General features: G+C 32.3%; 1 protein-coding gene across 13 annotated transcripts in view, besides 1 other annotated feature; it reads right to left on the bottom strand.

Annotated features, from left to right (window-relative positions):
• The window catches only part of NBEA (neurobeachin), a 730,467-nt gene that overhangs the window by 369,265 nt on the left and 334,092 nt on the right, over positions 1 to 27,110 (bottom strand). For all 13 annotated transcript variants that reach the window (XM_047430271.1, NM_001385012.1, XM_006719803.4 and 10 more), the window contains one exon: positions 13,022 to 13,083. In XM_047430271.1, coding sequence (XP_047286227.1) covers positions 13,022 to 13,083 — 62 coding nt within the window. The remainder of the gene's footprint in view (positions 1 to 13,021; positions 13,084 to 27,110) is intronic.
• Positions 19,286 to 19,580: a silencer, noted in NCBI's record as "tiled region #11126; HepG2 Repressive DNase matched - State 9:DNaseU, and K562 Repressive non-DNase unmatched - State 24:Quies". NCBI's record gives its function as "represses a minimal TATA promoter and a strong SV40 promoter by Sharpr-MPRA in HepG2 and K562 cells {active_cell/tissue: HepG2 | K562}" and the evidence as "EXISTENCE:reporter gene assay evidence [ECO:0000049][PMID:27701403]".

Genomic DNA, 27,110 nt, shown 5'->3' with positions numbered 1-27,110 from the left:
GTCTTTTTGAATTTAAGATATATGTGGTTTTAAATTCTAATATAATTTTAAATCAATACCTGCTACAGTCTGAGTAACATAATAATAAATATTATTAACTAGTGATCTACTGGGTCAATAGTGATTAACATACAATCCACCTCTTGTTATTGCCAAAGATATGAAACCAGGTGACTGGTAATGAGACCTCTTAAAATAATACTACTACGGATGAACAATACTAATTGAACATAGTGTTTCTTTAATCCTATAGAAAACGAATCTAACTGGGTTCTCATTTTCCATGAAGACATGAAAAAGTATTACTAATTATGAAAATGAGAAAGGATTTTTTTAATGTAAAGAAGATTTTTTTGTTCTCCTCTGTGCCCTGCAGGAAATTTAAGTCTTCTGTCTATCCTGCTATCTGTCCTGCTCACCTGTCCTGACATAGGTAGACATCAAATACTTTTATTTGATATAGGAATTTAAAGCAACTTTAAATTGAAATACCAATTTTTCAATATGGGAGTTTAACACCAGCTGGCTGAACAGTCTTCTTCATGTGACTCTATGAGTTCAGTTTACTCTTTATGTGTTTTATGTGCACATTATATAATTAGATTTTAAGTACTGTATTTTTAAAGGAAGAGACAGGTTTTATTAATCTGTGATGACACTAGGGCCAGAAGAAATAGATGGTGCAATTGTCATAATGACTATACTACAACATTAAGGAAACAAGACTTTAATTCTAGAAGTTTAGCCAACATTGAATGGCAAACACAGAAAAAATCCTTATGTATAAAAATGTTTAAATTTTATATTTCCTGGTGCATTTTTTTCCCTAGGTTCTATTATTAGTTTGTTTGCCAGATATGAATGTTTTGTTTTCTGTCACACATGCTCCATTAATATGATATGGCTGGGGCACAAGAACAGTTTATGCAGGCCTTGACCTAAGCAATAGCCAAAGTGGTTCCACCTAATATTAAGAGAGTATAATTCAGTTTTTGAAGGTTTTCAAAATTCTTCAGCTATTTGCAACTATTTGCATAATTTCAATTTACCAAGTCAATGTCTGTTAACTACATGAACAATTATGAACTGCTATTAACAATGTATAAGGTCACAAAAATGTTACCAATTGTCTTTTCTGAAGGAAGGGAGTTTAAAGTTTTTGTTTATTCAATTTGGGGTATGAGATACATAAGACACAGGCAGTAACTATGCCCAGGATATATAATACATGTCCAGCCCCCTGGAGCCTGAGAGGAAAACAAAAAATTAAAAAATTATCTAAAGTAATCTAATTCAAAATATTAAGGAATGTAAGAACAATAAAGTAAAATGAGAATTTGAAAGCCTAAGAGCATAGAACATTTGTGATTCTGGTGGTTGGCATGCGTTACAGTTTGGGCCACCCTTCCAACTCCTCCCTACTGCAGCCCATGAGGCGCTGCTTCAAGTAGAAGAGTTGGAGAATTAATGACTTTAGCCATACAGACAGCACTAAAACTAGAAATTTTAAAGATAAGTTTGTATCAGCTATTTTCTGGGATTTAGCATAAAACATATTGTGGGCTCTCATGAGATACCATCTCATGCCAGTTAGAATGGCGATCATTAAAAAGTCTGGAAGCAACAGATGCTGGCGAGGATGCAGAGCAATAGGAACGCTTTTACACTGTTGGTGGGAGTGTAAATTAGTTCAGCCAGTGTGGAAGACAGTGTGGCGATTCAAGGATCTAGAACCAGAAATACCATTTGACCCAGTAATCCCATTACTGGGTATATACCCAAAGGATGATAAATCATTCCACTATAAAAACACATGCACATGTATGTTTATTGCAGCACTATTTACAATAGCAAAGATGTGGAACCAACCCAAATGCCCATCAATGATAGACTGGATAAAGAAAATGTGGCACATATACACCACGGAATACTATGCAGCCATAAAAAAGAACGAGTTCACGTCCTTTGCAGCAACATGAATGAAGCTGGAAACTATTATCCTCAGCAAACTAACGCAGAAACAGAAAATGAAACACTGCATGTTCTCACTCATAAGTGGGAGTTGAACAATGAGAACACATGGACACAGGTAGGGGAACATCACACACTGGGGCCTGTTGGGGGGTTGGGGAAAGAGGAGGGGGAGCATTAGGACAAATACCTAATGCATGCGGAGCTTAAAACCTAGATGACGGGTTGACAGGTGCAGCAAACCACGATGGCACATGTATACCTATGTAACAAACCTGCATGTTCTGCACATGTATCCCAGAACTTAAAGTAAAATTAAAAAAAAAAAAACATATTGTGGACTCTCATTGTTGTGGTCAATGAAGAAAACAGAAGTTTATTTTTTTCACCTACTAAATGAGAGACAGAAAAGGGACTATAAAATATTCTTCACAAGATAAAGTATATTTTCCTCCTCAGAAAATGTTAGGATTGCATGTGGTTTTTAAAGCATGTTTAATAATTTGTGAATGACAGTTGTAAAAGTGGCAAAGATAATTTTTTTTTTACCATATTTAGTTGAGAAGTCCAATCCCTTTACATCCTAGGTAGACAACAGTACACAGTATTGGGTGGCAAACAAAAATGCATAAGTATAAAGAAAAAAACGGAATGAGAAGAAAAATGTATCCTATAGGAAAAGTGTAACAAAGGGCATCTTCTCCATTGGTTATCCTAAGCTACCGATGAATTTTTAGGCCTGACTCCTATGGAAAAGTGCAATACCTATGACAAGAATTTATGCTTCTTATTGCCCCTTTCCATAGGAGTCAGGTCTAAAAATTTCTATTTCTATCGCCCTTTTCCATAGGAGTAAGGTCTAAGAATTTATGATAGCAATGAAACAAATCTTAAAGCATGTAAACGAAATAGTTTTAAAACTCTGAAAATAAGAAATGGGATAAATCCTACATCATCTTCTCATCAGTTAATGTTACTTTTATTAATCATGAAACATTGCCTCTGAAATGGAATTATTTATATTTGTAGTATTTTATTTACAGTGTGTGTGAAGTAAATGAGATACACACGGTTCTGAATTTTTGTAACAAACTTGGGTAGGCAATGATTATATTCTTTTATACTGATGCACATTTCTTTTTATAATTTCAAAAAATACTTGTTTTTCTTGTTTTTTGAGACAGAGTCTCGCTTTGTCACCCAGGCTGGAGTGCAGTGGCTCGATCTCGGCTCACTGCAACCTCCACATCCCGGGTTCAAGCGATTCCCCTGCCTCACCCTCCTGAGTGGCTGGGACTACAGGCGTGCACCACTATGCCCGGCTAATTTCAAAAAGTACTTCTTAAGTGCATATTACTATGTAACTGATTCTAAGAGCTTCAAAAAATAATTGGATAAAATATTGAAAGGAGAGATAAACAAAACTTTGTGACAAGAAAAGTACATAGCATAGAGGAGAAACGGTATTTGTTTGTTGTGGATGCTGAGATATAAGCTACCTTGAAAGTTAAAAAATGGGATAGAGGTGGACATGGAAGACAACTTTAGTCCCTGTCCTAGCACTCTAACAATTCTCTCTGACAAATACATAAACTTAGAGAATTTGCTTAAAACAAGGCACACAGATACATGAAAACACATGCAAAGGGATAAGAATAATTTACTGTCATTTCATCAACAACAAGCTCTTGGCAATGACAGGAAAAAGGTATATTTTAAAGTCTTATCTTACAAATTATTCCAGAATTTTTTGCCATTTGAGAAAACACACCTACATAGACATATATGCACTTTTCTGCTGAAAAAATAAATGAACAACCTTTTATTTTCATGGGGACAATACTTAACTTTGGGTTTGAATGCCTGCAGAGAGCTGCCAAGTCTTTAGATAGTTTTGTCACAATTTTTTAACTCTTCAACATGGATGCATAAAATTTCCTCAAGATGAAGGACTTTTTCAGGGAACTGGATCTCATGTTAAGGACCCTTTGAAACTAAACACTTTGAAGACAAATAAGTTCCAGAAGGATGACGATAAAATCCCTATGTTCTCTTCACAATCGCTTTATGGTAGTTAGATGGACTAGTCGAAGAAATCTCAGATCCAAAATATAATGCTTCCCATCAGTTTCTCCCCATCTATGTCAACTCAATGTACATTTTTCATTCCCTCTTCTTTGTATACAATTAAATAAACCGTCCTTAGAGATTCAATCCATCATAAAAGTTTTGAATATATAAAAAAATTACAAGGAAAAATGGTAGAGTAAATTGATATCTTAAGTCTTCAAGAATTCCAGAATTGATTTTATATTTCTGATATCTTTAATATCTATTTATCATTATCTGTCACTAAAATACATAGGTGTGTTTCTTAAAATTTTCAAAGTGAATGTTCATTATAACTGGCATGTTTAGAAATTCTGTGCTGTAAGTTGAAGTCAGTAAGTATAAGGAGTGAAGTGAAAAAAACACTCTGTAGGGTGAAAATAGAGACGAGAATTTTTTTCAATGCATATAAAACATACATAATTACTGAAAATATATATGTGAAGTATTTAAAGTACCATTTATTTCATTTTCATTTCTTATTTTTATGAAGATCTTACTAAAAGTATTATAGGAAAAACTGAATGTAAGAAATGAATAATGAATGATCAATTCAAAGAGAAGATTACCGATATAATAGTCAACCATAAAAAAAATTAGGAAATACTGAAATATATTTAGTTGGTTACTCAAGGAAAAGTTGGCGTATCATATAAACATAAGCAGGCTTCCAGGACTTTAGGTGATCACTAAATTATGTTTCAAATTGGACACATCTTATTATTATAAAATGAGTGTATGTATTTGTATTTGTGTTTGTAATAAAAAAGTCTAGACTGTTTTACAAGATATTTTTAAAGAGAGCATATTCTATGAGTATATACAACACTCATGTTTATTAGGTTTGAGTTGTTAAAAAGTTTCTCACATTCAAATGTGTAGTTTAAGATTTAGAAATAGGTACTAAGTTATATTAAATATTTCATATTTTATTCACAAATGATCATGCAGCAATAGTTGTGGAAGCCAGTATAAGAACATTAGTGCTGTAGAGAAATTTAGAGATCATCATTTTTAACTAAGTACAAGAATCTCTGACACATAATTAGCTGCCATTTGTTTGAAGACCTACTATATTCTTGACCTCTGAAACAGCTTCTTGTACTTTTGGACTACATTAAAATTAAAAAAAGAAGCATATACATATATATATATATATATATATATATATATATATATACACACACACACACACACACACACATACACACACACACACTGGCTATGTATCTATATATATTTTTAATAACATTTTCTTTTCTCTAGCTTATTTTACTGTAAGATTAGAATGCATAATACATATAACATAGAAAACGTGTTAACTGATGGCTTATGTTATTGGTAAGGCTCTGGTCACTAGTACTGAGCTATTAGTAGTTAAGTTTTGGGGGAGTAAAAAGTTATATGCATATTTTTGACTGTGTAGGGGGACTGGCCTCCCTAACCTTCTCATTGTAGTGTTGATGGTTACATAACATTGTGAATTTAATTAATGCCACTGAACTGTATACTTAAAATGGTAAAAATGGCACATTTTACATTTTATGTATTTTATCACAATAAAAATAAATAACAAATCACCTTAGCTAATATATATTCCTTTTTATTTATAAAATAACTCAAAATGTCATTAATAACTACCTATACTATATGCTGGATATTTATACTAGGAGTGGAAGACATAGTGGTAAGCACAACAGAAGGCAATAGAAAAATAAAGTGATCTTTAGTATGGTGTAAATTTGTAGCATAATTGAAATGAATAACATCCATAAAGTGACTTCACGAAACTGCAAAGTTCTGTGTCATCCTTAAGTAGTCTTTTCTTCTGGATTGTTGTAAATAAACAATGTATGATTTTAAATGCTCTTCATAAATGTTAATATATTGAGACTATACAATACTTATTTTCTCCATTGGCAGAATAGAATTCTTCAAAAAGAAAGGAAATACTAGAAATGCAGCTTATTCTAATGGAACCTGAAATGTGGTAGATAAAGAAAATCATACCTTAATCACATATAAGAGCATCCAATTAAAACATATAAACAGATACCTATATTTATCATCTAGATTTATGCACTCAGATGCTAAGGGAATGATGGAGAGATTAGAACCTTATAACAATAATAATACAGAAAGGCTTCGTGAAATAAAAGAGTTTGAAATAATTGGGAAGATATGAGGTACAGGAACAACCATGTTGGTTTCATTAATACTTGGAATAAAATTGTATTGAGTTACATATACATACAAATGAACACATGTAAAAAAGAGAGAATGCTGAATAATGTCTATCATCTAGTTGGCAGTACTACATTAATATCAATTTCCTGGTTTTTATACTCTACTACAGTTATATGTAAGATGTTACTATTGGAGGAAGCTGAGGGAAGGGTACATGGGACTCTGTGTACTATTTTTGCAACTTCCTGTGAGTCTCTAATTATTTAAACAACGAAACCACAGAAAAAATGATCATGAGGAAATGTACAATGTAACAAAAAAGAGGATACAGAAAACTACTTATTATATGATAGCTAATAAAAATAAAGCATATTGAAATATGTGTGACAAAAATGAAGAAAATTTACCACCAAAAAAGAGAATGTATACTAGAAGTAAAAGTGTGAAATATATATATATATAGTTTTCACTATTTTTCAAAGTTGTTGTAATTTGTCTGAAAAACTTATACAATGTAGACACAGGAAAATAAAGATTAAAGAAAAATAAACCAAAATACTGGGAGAAAGGGAAATGTGAATTTTGAGACAAAGTATGGAAAGAAATTTTAGGTCAGGGAGGTGGGCTTAGTGTCAGGGATTCAGGGATTCAGAATATTCTACATTCCTTCTCTTCTGTCACAGACATTAAACACTCTTAAAAATGATCCTGCAGATGGCCTAGGGTTATTGATTTCTTTTTTCCCTCAATTTTATTAGAATTATGAGAAGTTAGACATAAGAAAAAAAAGACTGTTGTTCTTTTTTATCTTTTTTTTTTTTTTTGAGACTGAGTCTCGCTCTGTCGCCTAGGCTGGAGTGCAGTGGTGCAATCTCAGCTAAATGCAACCTCCACCTCCCGGGATCAAGAGATTCTCCTGCCTCAGTCACCTGAGTAGCTGGGACTACAGGTGCCCACCACCATGCCCAGCTAATTTTTGTATTTTTAGTAGAGACGGGTTTCACTATGTTGGCCAGGCTGGTCCCGAACTCATGATCCACCTGCCTTGGCCTCCCAAAGTGCTGGGATTACAGGCGTGAGCCACCGCGATCAGGCTTAGTTTATAATTTCTAACAGATGAGGTCAGAACTTTTTGTTTATTCATAAACTATTACCTCTATAATTTGAGGTGGATATGTGCTAAGTTGTTATATATAAGTGTTATGTGATGTGTGAGTATTGTATGTATCACAGGTAGCTTAGAAAAAATATTTTATAACATAAAAGAGACTGACTCAAAATTTCTTATACCTGCTAACTTCTCTAAGAGTTTTAAAAAAAGAATTCAACAATAAAATATCTCATAGAACTAATCAAAAGTAATTTGAATTATATGCTCTTTAAATCTTTGATTAAATTTTCATCCAGGAATGCTGTAAGTAATTGAACATATAACAGAGAGCCCGTCTTCCTGTTGCAATCTGTTCTGTACTGATTCTCCCCAAGATATATTAAATACAGATTTCCCAATTATTTTCTACTGATACTCTTTTTCCTTTAAAATGTCTACATTTTCAGTACATAACTTTCTCCATATTCTCTAATAATTTTAAATATTGTTATCTGAGGTGACTATAATCTTTATGCCTCACTGTATTTTCACCTTCCTGTTTAACTTTTATTTATACTTTAGGACATATTACAAACTTTTATGGCAATAAAGATTATATAACATAGACACTCCAAAAAAATTAAATGCCCAAATTTGACCCCTTTAACTTGGAAATGACATTATATCACAGATAAGAGGTGGGGTCACCCACCGTCTAGAGAAAAAGGCAGGGATTTCTTAGATATTAGAAAATGAAAAAGTGGCTCTTCTAAAAACAGAATCTATAGTCAATGATCATGAACTATCCAATACTGTTTAAAAGTTAGACATTTCTTACTAGCCTTAATTCTATACTATTAACACACTACAATATTTTATATTAAAAATACTCTTGAGGAAGGTATTGGATTACACATTGCCTGGAAATGGATAATACCCTAGATAAACAAATAAATATTATATTTATTTATATTATAAATATTATATTTATATATTAAATATAAATATTATACATTGCCTGGCCACTTAATTTCTGCTATTTTTTTTAATTTTTTTTTTTTAGTTCATCAGCTGTCATTAGTGTTAGTGTATGTTATGTGTGGCCCAAGATGATTCTTCTTCCAGTGTGGCCCAGGGAAGCCAAATGATTAGACACTGTTGAACAGACTCATTCCTCTCCAGACCTCAGGTTTCTGAAGAAACAGGGCTCAGGCTGTTTCTTCAGCCCAATTCTCCGCTGCTTATGCTGAATAGGATACCTTGCATCGTCAGGGCTCATTTTTAGTTCACCTCAATAAACTTTTCCATGACAATCTTATTGTTGGTACATAGGACCCATTTACTGAACCATACAAAGGTAACTGCTCATTTATATTCAGTTTTAAGTATCAGGTCATAATTTTTTATTGTTCTTAATTGAATTCAAATTCAGCAGCAAAACTGGCAAGTTTCATAGATAACACTAAACATGAGAAATGGAACAATGTGTAAGTCTTTAGTAACCATTAAAATGTTTAAAAAATGTAGTCACTAAATAACTACCAAATTAAATGTGACATAACTTCATCATGATAATTAGGATTTCATGATATTTCCAAAGACAACGGGGAAAAAACATCTACTCCATCCCTGGTTTCCTTATATTTGAAATCTTCTTACTATACACACCAAAAATCCTTTCACTACTGAGTACTTACAATGAATATTTTTTAATAGGCCTCTATGTTCTCTTACCTATGTCTTTGTAACTCAGCCTCAGAAGAAAAGTATATTTTTTTCTTTTGTACTATTTGACTCAACTGTATCACACTGGAGGAAAAATGAAAAACGTAAATGTTCAAAGGCCAAATCATTAAAAAAAAAAAAGATTGTTCTTTAGTTGTGGTTCTTTTACAAGTGTTGTCTTTAGAAGTCCTGGGTTAATGCTTTGATCACATCAATGAAGTCACTAAAATTCTTTTTATTTAAGTATATGAGGTATTTAGAAAAAAGTAAATTCAAACAAACCACAAAATAATTCATGTTAGTGACTTCATACACAGATGCCTAACTAAGACTTGCAGGCCTCTTACTTTATATTACTTATACATCTTTAGCTTTTCAGTAAGAGTAGAAATGACTTACTAAGCATGCATTTGCTTAATCATTGCCTCCAGTCAGAAAGCATTTAAATACTAAGAATTTTTTAAATGTACAGTTTCTCAATTTATAAAATGTTTTCTATTGACAGATAAGGCACAGAAAAATGCAAGTGCCATCTGCTAAGCTTTACTTATAAAAACTTACAGAAATGCTATGGGATAACATCAGTCCACTTTTCCTGGAGTATATCTTATGGAGACTTCCTTAAAAAATCTGGAAGTAATTAGGAACTATTATAGCACCTAAAGAAGTTTACTTGAAAACTAAATCTGCTATTCATCAAAGAGCACAATACAGTAAAAATAATGTAATAAACCAATAAGCACAAATAGAGAATAAGCACTTCAATCATATCTAATTATAAAACTTTTTTAAAAAGCTATGATAGAAGATAGTATCAGACCTGTGATATACTGAAGAATCTGTAGAAAACCTTGTACTCCCTAATTAAGCACTGATTTGATATTAATTTTTTTACTTTAGTTCATTTCACTTCAAAATGATATGAAACCAATTTTTAAAATGCTACTAACAACTTTAATACAAAATAAAAGTGAAGAAGAATAAATATACTTGTATCATAAGATCTATATCAGAAAAAAATCCAGAATACAGTCAAAAATGTTTTGGGTATTTGTGGAATGATAAATATATCAGAATGATAATATTAACAGCTTCTTCTTAAGACTTAAATATGTTTTCCACAAAGATGAAAAATTACATTGGGGGGTAGACTGGATGATATAGCCTTTGGAGTTTAAAAGTTTGCCCATATGAACTGAATTATCCTTGACAAGTACCTTCAGACACTTGTAATATGATCTCACGTAAATTTAGACCATATTTTGGGCACAAACTATTAGGAATAGTAAGTTTATTCAGGAGCTCAGATAAGAAAGAAAAGCTAATATCCTTAATAATATGTAGTTGCTAACAGGAAATTTCCAAAATGAAAATGAGAAGCATAAAAATAAAAGCCATCTAATGTGTTGTAGCAAAGAAAAACAAAATCCTATAAAAAACACAATATTGCATTTTCTTTTCCCTTTTTAATACTTATCTGCCCGGTCTCTCAAAAAATTTTTATCTTTCAATGGCTTGTCTAAATTTGGAAAAAGAAAAGCATATTTTATGCAAATAAATACATTAAAAATTCCATTTGCAGAATTCCAACTTATTCTAACCAGCATTAAATTACAATATGAATAATATCTTAGTTGGATTTCTCACTGTGGAAAAATATACACATAGTATATCAAGATAGTAACTTAAAGTTACTCATTCAGATTTTCAACTATTTTTATTAGTATTAATACTGGTCATGACAGTAACATGGAGCTATCAAGACTTACAAAGGGCTGTCTGTAGAGCAAAACAAAAAGAACTCAGAACTCTGCAGCTTTCAAGATTCATCAGGATTACCTACTGCCTTGGCACAAAGACGGCCTACAGAACTGTACTAATTCTACAGGGACTGTGCTTCATTCTACAAGAGATGCATTAAAGGCTGTAGAAGAACACTGCTTTGGAGAGAGCTATGCCAAGCAATCTCCACAGCATCATTAACTGTATTTATTTCTCTTTTCAGAGGTATGTTACTGCTATGTTGCCCTGTTAATGGATGAAAATAGGATATAAATCATCTCAAATTTAAGTAGTATAGAAAAATGGCACATTATTTTAAGAAACGTTGAAGACATGTCCATTTTTTGGTATGTGTGTCCTTACAACTAAAGACATGATTTTAAACATTCATGGAGCAATTAATGATCTACAAAGATAGTTCTAGAAGCTTAATTTCACAGTAAAATGGTAAACTTATCCCCCCTGAATAAGAATAAAGGAGGATTATTTGTTTCATTAAAAATATTTAGTCGAAAGCATTATTTCAGTTAAACAGAAAATAACAAAAACAATTGGGAGCTATTTTAAAGAATAAGCATATATTCTTAAGTTACTTAAATGAGGTGCATTTAATCAATTAAACACTTAAAATATTTAAAAACACTGAATTATTTTAAAAATTCAACTTAAAAATCAAATCGAGAGGTGTGTTTACAACATTGCTTTGCTGAAACACTGAAAGAAAGTGCACTGCATAGAGAGCTTAAATTTCTCACTCTTCCTTTCAATCAATATCTGAGGCAAAGTTTCATCTCTAGGGCCCTTAATGGCAGGAATTCCTGGAGCCAGCAAATGAGTAATGTTAAACCTATGATTAGATGATGAGGCCATCAAAGACACTAGATCTTAATGCTACATTCCTCTTTATTTCTCTGAACTGCAGTGAAACACAGGGCTATGGAAGAAGGAATTCTAAGCTATTTTTCCATAAACGCATTTTACAGAACTGTGCATCATCATGAATCGAAAAGGTCCAGATAGTCTCTCGAACTCAGGACTTCAACAGTAGGTGACAAAATTTTCAAATGCCCTGCAGACGACCTCCTCACAGGGATGTTGTTTTCTTTAACCTCTTCCTTATCAATATTGTTCCTGGCTATAAAGAGGAAAATGGGCCTAATGATTTTCCTAGGAATATATTCTTGAAGAAAATAAACCTGAAAACTGAAATCAATTGGTAAGTTTTTCATTTGTTTTGTTCAGTTTTGCTGATGTTTTAGAGGATCACTTGAAAGCATATTGTTGTTTGTCTGCGAGTTAGCTGTGGCTTTAGGCAAACCTCAGGCCAGTAATTAGGAATAGCTTAGATATATGTTTCTTTCTACTGAGGAAACTACGAATAAAGATAATAACTGCTTATTACAAACACACACAAGCTCTTTTTTCCTTCTGATATTAAAAAATATTTAACACTAATATGATAATCAGGATAATCAGGACTGCTAGGAGACTTGACAGAGCTGGTGAGAAGAAAAACCAATAGGTTCCTATTTAAGTAATCAGAAAATATGTTTACATTTATTTTTGGTTGCCCTGTAATTGTTAAGAAGAAACAATACCCAACAATTATCATTTATCTTTGATTCTGATTATTAAAGACAAACAGCTCAAGTAGATTTTTAGAATTTACACTGACATATACAAATTACATTTAAAAAAGAGAAAGCAGCAAGGTCTTATATCAAAGACCATTCATTAATAAGCTGTATCATACACTTTGGGTATGGAATTTAAAAACTTACTTTTCATTATCTCAAATATAAGAGAAGAAGATACAAGATAATTAATAATACATTTAAAAATTATAAATTAAGATATTTTATATATCGTATTTTATATACATATATATGATAGGAAACAATGGAAGAATCGAAAGGGTAGGAGAATAATACTGCTAAAAAGAGTAGAAGAAGGGAGAGGGAGAATAAGTCAATATTTACATGGTAAGATAATCTATATACTAATAAAACTCAACATAAATTATTTTCTCCATCTATGGGATAATAGATGGAAATTTTAAAAATATATAAACATACACATATATATGCACATACTTTTTATTATTAGTCACAAAAAACCCTCATATATTAATGTAACTGAGTGAATGGGATTTTGTACCTGAGAACAAAGCAGCATAACAAGCTCAACCACAGATGTGCTGGACTTCATACAAACAAGGCCTACAACAAAGAAAGGTTAAAACAAAATGAAATTACAATGGCAGAAATTATCATTCTGAGTTAATTCATTATATAATTTTAATTTATAAAAAAAACTTTCTTTTAAATAGAATTCCTAAGGTAAACTGAATGAAAATGTTCACCTAGCATACATTTTTAGCAATAATTTAAAACTATTTAGATACACTTCCAGTTTTTGCCCATTCAGTATGATATTGGCTGTGGGTTTGTCACAAGATGATGTGAAAATACTCGAAAACTGACTTCATGCTTTGGTTGTTTATTTGGTTGAGGCATTTCTTACATTTAAACAAGGTGGGGAAGGTTATTAAAATTGATGAGCTAGGTATAGCTGCTATTACGCCAATGACATTTATTATATGGTTGTTTCCTTGGAGCAAAGAACAATAATCACTGAAGTTCTGCCTAAATTTTGTTCCAAAAGACAAAATTAATTTACAAATAGGTAATTTCAATAGCTTATCAGTTATTAAATAATTTTAAAAATAATAAAAAATGTATGATTAACACATCAAGCAATGCTTATAAAATATTTCACCGTTATACTCCAATCTCCCCAAATAGATAGCAGAAGAAAAAAACCTGATTGCAATAATGTCTATGTAATAATGGCTACTACTCATTGATCACTTAGCATGTGCTGGGCAATATTTAACACACTGGCACAGTGCCTTACGTGCATGGTCTCATTTAATTATCATTATACTCTGTGACATAGTATTATTATTCCCATTCTACAGGTTAAGAACGTATATTTCCTATAAACAGTTTAAACATTAATTCTTATATGTATTGATGAAGTTATCAAGATTTTTTCCAATTAAAAGTATGACTGCTGTATAACGATGTATATAAGAAAGCAGATCTTAATTGGTAGTTTTTCGAAGTGCCAACATAGAGAATGAGGTAATCAAGTATTAAAAACACTGTTGAGAGTACGTTAATTATGATGTTTGGTAATTTAAAAATATTTTCTAAAGTTTTTCACTGTTTTTAAAATTAATTTAATAAATAGATTTTTCCTCTTTCAAAAATAACTTCTGTGTAACAAGAACATTCATAGTTTTTAGAAATACTATCATTTTTCTTCTTTTGATGATAAATGTAATTAGTAAAAGCATCATACAGTAAGGCAGGCCATGGTCTTAACATTATTTGTTGCTAAATGGAAAATCGAAGTGAAACCAGTTATTTTTGTTTCTTGAGGTGATTTCAATAAACAGTCTCAAATGCCTTCTAGACACTAGCATGCATATTTATTGTAGGTAGTGGATAAATACTCTTTTGTGCCCATTTTGCTAACGACCCTATCTCCTTATTGTACAGACCGACAGAACAAGCTGTAAAAAGGTACTAGTATTCCATCTTATCAGATATTTGGGCAGACAGTTAACTAATGAAATAAGAGGCAGATGTGAGAAGCTCATTTACGAGACAATTGGTGTAACTGATCAGCAATTCTCATGCTCAGGTTCTAGGGAGTCAGAAAGATTAATGGGACATTTATCACCTGTTGACTACTCAAAGATTTGAATTCTGACAAAGAAAAAACAAGTAAAAGGCCAAAGGATCATAATTAAACTCATGTAAATTTAGACAATAAGGCTTTGATATAAAGAATTATTCGCATACATTTTGTGTATGAGTTTTTAAATATATAATAAATTGAAGTAAAATTGGAAAAACATGAAATTGCATTAATTTCTCAGAAACCAATTTTTAAAATGAACTTATAAAAAACCCTATGCAACAAGACCATTTATAGTTTTTTACAAATACCATCATTCCATCATAAGAAAAATATAAACAAATGCTTCATTAATGCTTTGTTCAAAAGGAATGGCAAAAAATTGACACAATAACAAAATTGCAATTTGCAAACAGTGCTCTCAGTATTTTGTAAAAGGCTATTGTGATTTCAAGTCCATAGAACCTCACACCTTTACTCATGTGTTTTGTCTAATTAGTTTTGGACAGAAAGAATAAATGGATTCTCCCAAAAGCAAAAGAAGAACTAAACGTGACATTGAGAACACAAGCAGAGGCAAATTTGAAAGACCTATCTATCTTCAAAAATTACATAATCACTTTGGTTGGGAGTATTACTAAAAAAAAGAGGTAAACTCAATGTTTTACTAGAGATAATGAAAATACAACCACTGACTGATGCTATAAGTAACTCTTAAGCTGTATATGCATGAGACAAATATTTTACAAGTGTACGTCTCAAAAAGTTTGAGTGTATCCTTTTTGTATGTGGCAAAAAATTCATAATCAAATTAGCTCATTTGATATCTCCACTTATGAGCAAAATATAATGTTAGTACTAAGGAGTTTACAGTAATAAGTTATTATTTATACCTTCCCAAGTGCCCATATTTTAATTCAAATTAAGATTACATAAAATTTATATAGAGCTTTAGAATTTACAAATAACTTACATATATGCTGACTCATTTGAATCTCTTAATAACTGTTTAAACTAGTTATTACTACCTCATTTGATACATAAAAATTGAAGAGACTTGGTGGCTAGCCAAAGGTGTGTCATTCAGTCAGTGGTGGAACTGGGTCCCAAATTCAGGTCATCTAACTCAAAGCCCATTCTGTTTGCTGCAGAGCTACATGAATAGTTTGGCATTAATAAGATGGCAATATTTGATTATGAGAAGGGTTGTAATGGTCAATTCAAAGGTGAATGATTTTGACAGTTTTCCTGGTGAAAGTAGCTTATTGTGGTCAGACAAGGGGACAAAAAGCAATAGCTTAAGCAAAAAGTACACAGGAAGCAGAGAACAAAGAGAAAATCTGAAAAAAACCTTTATAGCTTGGGGGATGGATGAATAGACTATAAGAGTGTTTAAAAGTGGACTGGAGGGCTAGGGTGAAAACCAAAGATAGATTAAGATTGAAGGAAAATTATATGGTTTTGAAAGACAAAAGGAATAATTTAAAGCAAGTTATAAAACGGGAGAAATGATACTAAGGACTGTTTATAGCATTCCTATTCTATCATGACAATCTGTGCCTTGTTAATTAAGAAGAAGCCCCCAAAGGAGCTGTACATATGTGCCTCCCCAACAAAAATATAGTTAGGAGTGCAGGCAAAGTAATAGAATATTTTCACCAGAAAATATATATGTTCACTGGAATAAATATTCTAACCAGAATTACTGATTCAGTACTGCAAGCCATACAGCTTAGCAGTATAAAATGAACACCTGGGATGTAAACAATAAATGTGTGGGGGCCTATGAGGAAGGAGGCTTGTATATTTGGGAGATATTCTAACAGTAAGGAAACCGTCCATTAAGTGCTTTTGAATATATTATGAACTATATTGTTGAAAGATGAAGTCAGCTCACTGAGTGGCTAAGATACAAGTACTTGAGAAGATTAATTAGCTGGACAAACTTGAGGTGGTCCAGATCCAGGCAGTAAATAAAACAGATATAGCTGAGTAAACCATTATCCAAAAAAACTGGCAGTTCTTTTGGGTTCACACTGACTAGGGGTAGGAAGTCAATTTCTATTTTCAGAATGACACTCCCTCCCCACTAAAAAACAAGATAAAACAAAACAAAACAAAACAAAACAAAAAACTGCCACAAATGATAAACCAGATAAGAAATCTCCAAAATGAGTATAAAGTTAGAAGCTTGGCCTTTGGGACAAAGCTATCTTTATTTAATACAAACACTACTAAAAGGTACAATGATATTATTTTAATAAAGAACTGTCAGACTCTTTTGAGTCAATCTGCGGGTCTAACTTTTTACATCTGTTGAATTGAATATCAAGTTAAAAGAGCCCTAAAGCTTTAAAATACCGTTGAAAAATTCCATCTCTAGCAGAATGTTCCTCATGGTGGGAGATGAAGAATATTACATGTTCTAGGGACAAGAAATCATGCTCTTATATGGAACTAATCTTTTAAATGTCAAAGTTTTCTTTAAGTAAGGATCCAAGAGAGGAGACTCTGACAGACATCTATGATTGCTTTGAATATATTATCAGTAAATATTAATTGAATCAATAAATCTATAAATCATCATTCACTATCAACTGTAGAGAAAAAATTACATTTTGAGCAAAAATAAGAACATCATTTTTTAGAATAAGATCCCAATTCATTCAAAAAACATTTACCAAACATATTGTCTAATGTGCCTGACACCATGGCAGGTACTAAGTGGGATGTGGGGCAGATAATATAAGCAAATAATCATGATAGAGAATCTTAGGGGGTTCATAGAGAATGCAGTGTGAGAAGCACAGGAAGGGTAGTAAGCAACTGTGTCTAGGAGAAGAAGTTATGGGGAATGTGACATTTAAGTTGGATAATGCTGAGCCTATCTAAGCAAAAAGTAGAAAGAAAGGAAGGTCATTCCAGGTGACAGAGAAATGTCTGAGGTATAAAGAAGCATGCAATCGTCAGCAAAGTGGAGTTGGAATGTTATGTCGTAGGCTGTGAAGGATGAAAGGAAGTGACTGGAAATGAAGACAGAGAGGTAGGCAGGAAGCAGAGCCATACATGGCACACTATCCTATCATCACCAGGGAGCCACTACAGGATTTTAAGCAGGGCGCAGACAGAATTAGCTCTATTTTGGAAAGACCACTTTCTGTCAGCAGTATAGGAAGAAGCTAGTAACTAAAGAGTTTAGTTACACGACTGAAAGCTTGAGCTCAAGATGGTGACAATGCAAGGAGAGACAGACTCAAGGCATTCTGTAATGAGACAAACTATTTTAGACAACTATTTTAACAACTATTTGGGACAGGGTAAAGGAACCATCAGAGTGTGATGATGATACCTTTAACTGAGATAAGGAAAGCAAATTAAGAAGCAAATCTGCAGAAGGAAAAGTGATCAGTTTCATTATAGACAATATTTCTCCTCACAATAAAAGATACCAATTTATTTTCTATCAAATAGACATGACTATACTGACAATCTGAATTTTAAAAATCAAATATGCCTAGGACTAACTAGTTTTTAGTTAATCTTCTAATGATTTTTAATCTTTTTGTTTGTTTTGGAAGCAAAATCTTGCTCTGTCACCTGGGCTGGAGTACAGTGGATAATTTTTGTAATTTTCGTGGAGACAGGGTTTTGCCAACTTTCCCAAGCTGATGTGAACTCCTGAGCTCAAGCAATCCATCCACCTGGACCTCCCAAAGTGCTGGGATTACAGGCTTGAGCCACCAGGTCCAGCCTATTCTTAACTTTTAAAAATCCCCAAATTAGTAGAGCTGAATGGCACTGAAATACTTTCATTTCAGTAACAAATGTTGAATAACTATAGACGTGGAAAGGAATTTTGCATGTCCAATATGCTTCATTTGCCTTAGTTTCAGTGGTGTATTCTTCAAAATTCTGTTCTCTACACTTCTCCCATGGTATTGTGAAGGATTCTAAGACACAGGGTATTACCATAATGAGTGTCTTTTAGACTCCTGTAATACTTATACACCTCTATCTGCACAACAGTAATTTCTGATATTTTCTACTATTCTTTTACTTTTTTAATCTGAAACATGAAATTGTCTTCCTATTCCCTCACTGTGATATGCTTCTCTCTGTAAAATTTACTTTCAATGTTACCATGTAAGTCACCTGAACTTACTAAGATCTAAACCCTAAAAAACAGCAAAGCAAGCAATTCATGTGGCTTTCTAATTCAAAACCAAGAAAACAAACAAAAATAGACATGAAACATCCTTTGAAATAACAATAATGGCTTAAATTTTTATCATTGCTAAAATTAATATTAAGATGTATATAGGTAGATTAGTTACTATGTTAATTGGACATTTTAAGGTTTGCCTATGTGTTCTCTCAAGTATTTTATTTTAAAACTGTATTACAAATGGAATCAACTCTAATATTAACTTAAAACTATAATAAAATTCATTTTTTTGACTAAAAAAGTTTATTTAAATATAATTAAGCCAATGCAGCTTACATTCATGTTTGGATTATAAATTTTAACAAAAAAAACCCTGCAAAATACTGTAAAGACAGTGAGAGTTCATGCATTCATTGATTTCTTTAGTTCACTAAAAACTGAGTTATCACAAACTTATGGCAGTCTTACTGTCTTTAAAATAGGAACAAAACGTAAGTTTCTGGATATACCAGATATATTAGGGGGCAGCAAACTTTTTCTGTAAAGGTCCTGATAGTAAATATTTTTGACTTTGGTGGCTATAAGTTTCTGTCACAACCACTGAACTCTGGCATGTGGTACAAAGGTAGCCATAGACAATACATAAACAAATGAGTTTGGCTGTCTTCCAAGGAAACTATTTACTCATCCCAAGATGTGTGTGTACATGCATCTGTGTGGTGTGTGTGTGTGTGTGTGTGTGTGTGTCTGTGTACACATGTGCATGAGTACATATCTGTAAGAGAAAAGGAAAAAGAAAAACATATGCATACATACACACACTTACACATCTATAGATATTAAAAATCACAGGGGCAATTATTTCAGCTGTACATCCATGATACTTTACAATTCTGAAACCCAAAAAGCTCTGAAAACTGAAAGCTTTCATGTAAGATTATCACAAATTCAATTATCAGCAAAATTTCCCCTGAATAATGTGATGCTATTTACAATTTGTTATTCTATTTATTGTGAAAATCCTTATGTATTACTGTAGACATGTTAATGTGTTTTATTAGGGAGCTCTCCCAGCCTTTCCTAAAGATGCTATGAAATATATGCACTTATTACCTTTCTTTGATCCAAAATATTTGAATTGTAAAATGCATCTGGCTTATCAAAAGTCAGAAATCAGTGGTACTGTGTTACATGAGATATTTTCGAAGATTGATAAAGAAATTAATATTATTAATTTTAATTGCAATTTCAAAGTAATTTGATATTACACATTTCCCTACGGAAATTTCAGATATTTGGAAGAACTGAAATCAATTTCCACATGAGAATGGTTGACTAAGTGCTTTTAAATTGTAATCCCAGAATGTTTAGATTGCTCAGAAACAAAGTTAAGTTTAATTGTAGTTACACAATACCCAAATAATAATTTTGATTGATTTATTGAAATAAACTTTCTAAATTTTTTGTCATTGTGTTGATACAGCCTAGAAATCTTACTGTGAATATTTTTTCTTTTTTATAGTTTTGCTTCTGCTGAGAATTTTTTACATAATGCCAGAATTGAAGTTCATAACACTCACAGATAAATCTTCTACAAAATGACAGATTATAATACAAAAAGGAATCTATAGTGATGGTTTTTATACAGATTTAAACTAGTAACCTGATTTTAATATGAGCTGAAGAGAATACTCTAATGGCATTATCAGCAATATTATTAACACCTACTGTCTGTGAAACACTGCCCCAACTTTACTGTTTTTTAATTTATGCTTTAAAAATTTATTTAAGGAACAATAATTACATCACTGCTATAGGCCTTGCACTATCTATAAGGATCTTTAAGAAATCCAGAAATGATACAGTCTTCGGTCTCAAGGAGCTAACAGACCAGTTACAGAGATAAGACATACAAATACAGATTTATGTAAGAGTCTAAAGAATATGGTACTGAAATAAGGATTACAATAAAGTACTATGACTCTAAATAATATAAAACAATTATTTTTGAAATTGAATGAGATACTTTTATTCACAGTAGTAACTCAGATTTCTACTACAGAAGGTGACTGACCTGAGTGTCTTGCTAATATAATCACAACAGCAATGAGTACGGATGAAATAAGGGAAATAAGAGACATTTTCGCTATCATAAATCATTTGGATCTTGCAATTATTTTTGGGTTAAATTTAATTATAGAATCAATTGTTATTCCTGTATCACTCCTCTGCATCAACTTTCTTTATTTCTCTCTGAGCTCCTTGAAATTTCAAAAGCCTTAATTAAATTCTAAAGTTACTAACCTATGTCTGGTTCAAATTTTAACACTGCTCAAGAAAGACTGGTCCTAAATAATTATTAAGAATGATACATGTGTTTTAACCATGTACACATCATTTCAAGAAATATTAATAATCAAAAGAGAACATATACCATGTTAGTCATATGATTACATTACACAAGTAGTTACATTTAAATAAAAGTGGCTATAGTAATGCTTCCATATTAAAAATAAAATAATTGGCCGGGTGCAGTGGCTCATGCCTGTAATCCCAGCACTTTGGGAGGCCGAGGTGGGCAGATCACAAGGTCAGGATATCATCCTGGCTAACACGGTGAAACCCCATCTCTACTAAAAATACAAAAAAAAAAAATTAGCCGGGCGTGGTAGCAGGCGCCTGTAGTCTCAGCTACTCGGGAGACTGAGGCAGGAGAATGGAGTGAACCCGGAAGGTGGAGCTTGCAGTGGGCCAAGACTGGGCCACTGCACTCCAGCCTGGGTGACAGAGTAAGACTCCGTCTCAAAATAAATAAATAAATAACATAATTTATATTCTATAAAATATAAATCCTTTTAAGCATAGTGTGTATACACGAACAATTTGTATACAGTTTCAAACTACCTAAATTCTGATATTTATTTAAATTCTCAAATAAATATATTTACTAATTACAAGTTCACAAATTTAAATAAATTTCAGGTAGCTTTTGTATTGTATACACCTTTAAGATCTTTATTTTTGTATTCAAAAAAGCACTGGTGTTTTTTCTTTGAAATACTTAAATAATATATCATGTAAAATGGAAATGCTATGTATCACTCTTCATAAAAAGATATTCACGAAGTCAAAGAGAAAAAACATAATTGGTAAAAGGAAACTATTTGATAATCATTGTAATTAAGGCATAAATCACCAAAAAAATGGTTTCAGGCTAAGGCAGGTTCAAGTAGAGGTCAGTCAGGCGAACCTCACTTACTTCCAAAAGCACATTAACTTTATACAATAATTATTGCCAAATTGTTGAAATACCCTGAAAAAACAAACTAAACTTCACAAAGTTCCTTATTTGTGCTCAAAGCAATAAATTCTCAAATGTAATCCAAGTCGAATTTTCTTACGAATCCTCCATTTAAGAAAAAAATTAGAGATGAGTAATCAGTACAGTTGCATTCATTCATAGGAATGAAATAGGTTCTTAGAATTTCCTTCAATTTTACAACATTGAAGATATTCCCCAAAGTCACAGAAACTATTATAATCATGATTCAACCCAAGAAATAATTTATTGGGATAGTATGCCAAAGACTATATACACAAAAAATTACATGTCATTGAATTAACAAGATTATTTTGCCTAACTAGAAAATCCTATATCCAAATCACAACTATCCACAATTCATGGTGAGATCTTAAGAGTCAAGTTCTATATTACATACCAGAATACAGTCCAATAATGATACAATAAAGAAGTCAGTATGTGAGTCACTTCGTAATTTTAAAAAAACACTTCTAGTGTAAAATATTAGACCTATTATAAACTAAAAGTAAGTGGTACTTTTATTACTCAGAATCCAGTTATAATATGACGGAGATCTATTACAAAGTGAGTTATATTTTGAAATTGGATGAACTAGGAAATCTAAAAAAGGGCATCAAATAAATGGCAAAAAAAAAAATCTGTCAAAAAGAGAACCCAGTCATTTCCAAGGATAAAAGGCATCCAAAGATTTGATTCTATAAGTAGTGTGCATACTTACCATAGGCCAGGACACAAATATAAAACAGTTATGTTCCATCTGCTGGAGAAGCCTGAATTCTAATGGAGTATACAGGTAGTTACATTGATCAGTTTATTATGATGAGACCAAGTATTATCTCAGAATCTTTTTAGGATATTGACTTGGTAAGCAAGCTAAATGATGCTATTAATGTAATTCCTATTGTGATTATTAGAAAATGGTGGAATTAAAAAATACCAGTAGGAAATATTTAACTTGAAATAATGAACAGCTATTAATTTCTAGAGAAAAACTGACCTAGGGATTATTCTAGGATCAGTAATTATAAATAATATTATTCAATTTATAAAAGAAAATCTGCTGAAATTAATTTAAACATCTTCTTTTACTCATGAGAGGATGTAGAGCCTCAGATATTCTCTATAACAAAACAAATATGTAAATAGCACACTTAATGTGAGAATATTTTTCAGTTGAAATTACCTATATAATCTTTTTAAGTAAATAGTTTATAAGCTAAAATATATGTTTAATCAGAAGAATATATTTGGTTGGACTTTGTGTAATTAGAACAATCCTACTGAGTACAGAGAGAACAACCTTTCAGGTGTGGATAATATAACATGTATATCCCTATAAATTAATTTAGCTAGATACACACAAATAAAATCTCTACTAAAATAAATTTCAAATAATTTAAAAATTAGAAAATAGTCTTATATGTTAAAATTGTCCTTTAAAAAATCAACCTGACACACCCATGATGGGCAGACAGGAGAAATGGATAACTTCTCCAGGTTTATGTCTTAGGAAATGTCCATTCCCTCAGCTTATTTTTCTCAGGCTTTTCAGCAAGTTAGTTCTTGGTGGCTTATTTCTCTTGTGATCCAGTGTCCACCTATGTTGTGGTAACGCTACCTAATTAAGGGGCATGTGTAATGGGAAAAATTGTGTTTTGATACCTGAGAAGGACAGACTGAAGACTGATGGTCAAAGTTGACATGCCCTGGGCCTGACCTCCTAGTCTGAAACTAGAGAGCAAGGAACAACATATCTGGACAGCACAGATCAAGGTCCAGGAAAAACTCTGTCTGTATACTTTCTAATTCATTGTATTGTTTTAAACTCAAATTAGGTGACTATTGCTAATAATCTGAATGTTAGTAATAAGCCAGTTAGTTTTTACATTCCTCTAAATATTTTAATGTTAGGGTTTATCCTGATCATTCAAAATTAGGCAATTTTATAAGTATTTCAGAATTATTTTAGTCTGAATCTAATTTTTAATTCAGTCAAAGAAACTCTGAACTGAAAATCAGAATATCTGGTTTTAATGTAGTCTCTACAAACTAGCTGTGTAAACTTGAGCTAAGACACATCACATTCTTGACACTAAATTTCCTTGCTAGTAAAGATTAATGATTTAAAATCTTTTTTATTACAGTCTACAGCAATACATTTCATATCATGATCCTGTATATGTAACTGAAACAAATGTTTTACAAAATAGTACTTCCTTTAACTGTGATATTCTCATCTATGTTATGCTATGGCATGGTTTGCCCTTAAAAAGTATTGGCCAGGGCTTGCTTTATTGATTACATTGTATACCTAATGAATCACAGCCTGCAGTCTGAAAATCAATTCTCCAGAGCTGGCCCACCTTCTGTTTTATATGGCCTGTGAGCTAAAAATAGTTTTAATATTTTAAAGTTAGTGGAAAAACAGAAAGAAAGGCAATATTTCATGATACTTAAAAGTTATACAATATTCAAATTTCAGTGTTCATAAAATTTTATCAGAACACAGCTGAGCTTATTCTTTTACATATTGTATGTAGCAAATTCCATGTTATGGGAAAGTTGAGCACTATGACAGAGACTACATGGTTGCAAAGCCCGAAGTATTCATGTTTTGGCCCATCTAAGAAATAGTTTGCCAATCCTTGTGCTAAAGCATACATAGTTCTTTCTGTCTTGAGTATCCCAGGTTCTAAGTCCTTCCTTCAGGTCTTACTGGGCTGAACTGGTACCAAAAATAAGATATATGATAGCAGAAATGAAATGATATGGAAAAGTATTGGTTCTTAGTTATTTAAGCATCAAATTTCTATTTAATTATGTACTTGAAAACAAGAATCAAAAGTGGCTAAACCAACAGGCAGTATTTGGCGGTAGCATAAAGATGACAAATCATTTATAGAATCTGTTTTTGTGAGTTCACGGGGTTTTATCTTGTAGACCTTGAGCATTTTGGTTAAATGATGGGACCAATAAAGGCTCTTAATACTTTTAGCAGGGATTAGGCTTGAACATAAAATGGTCAATTACATTGCATTGTATTGCCATGTGTTAAACTTACAATACAATAATAGGTAGAGAAAATGAAGCCACTTTCATATACTTTAAAACTGCCTTTCAACTATCCTTTTTTCTTCCATTGTTCAAATTTATAACATCCTTATTGAGTTTGTTCAATACAATCTATTCTTTCTACACCCAAACTCTCCTTCTATTTAATGCTTGTTGTACACTACTGTTTCTAAATCATATACATGCATATATATGTGTGCATATATATATATTTTATGTATATATATATATTTTATATATATATATATTTTTTGAGATGGAGTTTTGCTCTTGTTGCACAGGCTGGAGTGCAGTGGTGCGATCTTGGCTCACTGCAACCTCTGCCTCCTGGGTGCAAGCAATTCTCCTGCCTCAGCCTCCCAAGTAGCTCAGACTATAGGCATGTGCCACCACACTGGCTAAGTTTTGTATTTTTTAGTAGAGATGGGGTTTTGCCATGTTGGCCAGGCTGGTCTCAAACTCCTGGCCTCAAGTGATCTGCCTGCCTCAGCCTCCCAAAGTGCTGGAATTACAGGTGTGAGCCACTGTAACCGACTCTAAATCATATTTTAATTTTGTCCCTTTCTATTCAAATTTTTTTCAAGAATGACTAGAATCTAGGTTTCTTTTTTTCCTTTAGAATATGTGTATTTGGCAAAGTCGCTGCTCCTTTCTTTCTACCCTCCTTTGCATACATATGTTGTTTCCCCCACTTTTTTTTTTTTTTTTTTTTTTTTTTGGAGACGGAGTTTCTTTCTTGTTGCCCAGGCTGGAGTGCAATGGTGCGATCTCAGCTGACTGCAACTTCTGCCTACCAGGTTCAAGTGATTTTCCTGCCTCAGCCTCCTGAGTAGCTGGGATTACAGGCATGTGACACCACACCTGGCTAATTTTGTATTTTTGGTAGAGACAGGGTTTCTCCATGTTGGTCAGGCTGGTCTGGAACACCCGACCTCAAGTGATCTACCCACCTCGGCCTCCCAAAGTGATGGGATTACAGTAGTGAGCCACCGCGCCCGGCCTAATGTGATTTTTAATAAGTCATGAACAAATATGAGTTTTTCTGGCTCTCTGATGTCTTTACTTCCTTTAATACCTGGTCTCTGCCAGGTTTAAACCTGATCTGCATGTCATCCACCTTGGTTTTTTTGTGTATGTACTGTATTTTTACTTTACCAAATTTTGTTTTAAGAATATAGTTGGAAACAAAGCAGTGTTAAGGTAAGTACCAGCTTTGTTGAATCTTGTCCATAACTAGCTGAATTTTTACATATAGGTATCTCCTATGTTCTCTCTACATCCCTGCCACCTGGGGCCACAGATGCTTATGTTGCATTGTTATTGTTCTGCATGCATGCTTTCCATTACTCTGTTAAAACAGAAGGAAAAAGTAAACCGTTCTCTAAAGTTTTCTTTAAATATGTAATGTAATATTACAAAATTTAAACAAATGTATAATCTATTTTATATTCAAAAAGAATCAGAATTCAATTAAAAAAACGTGGACTTTGCTTAGAGCAACCTGAGGATGGGCAGAAGGCCATCAGCTACTAAATAAACTCAGGCTAGTATCTTATAGTCTATTCACATTTAGGAACTACAGTATGTCTGTAATAAGTATATAAATTACTTGGAAAATGTAAACACTACAATATAAGTGCTAAGCAATGTATTTCCTTTTTAAAAATTTCCCAATTTAGTTTTTTCCCAAGTTGTTTACATATTTCTCTAACGTGCATTAGTATCCCAGAGAGTATAATAATAAAAGCCAACATTAATTCCATGCTTAGCTTCTTGAAGATTCCATGTAGTTTATCATGAGTAGACATTATAGTCAGCATGCAGTTTTTCATAATGTAAAAATATTTCTTGTCTCAAAAGAAGTTACATGTATGCCCTCCAAACCAAACCTGTTATTCAATGACATAAATTTAATGGAATATATAGACCTTTCATTACATTACCTTGTATTTTAAGCACCCAAATGTCTTGATTTGTCA

Source organism: Homo sapiens, chromosome 13, assembly GCF_000001405.40.
Source record: "Homo sapiens chromosome 13, GRCh38.p14 Primary Assembly".
Classification (NCBI taxonomy): domain Eukaryota; kingdom Metazoa; phylum Chordata; class Mammalia; order Primates; family Hominidae; genus Homo; species Homo sapiens.
This window is presented reverse-complemented; position numbering and strand designations above follow the sequence as displayed.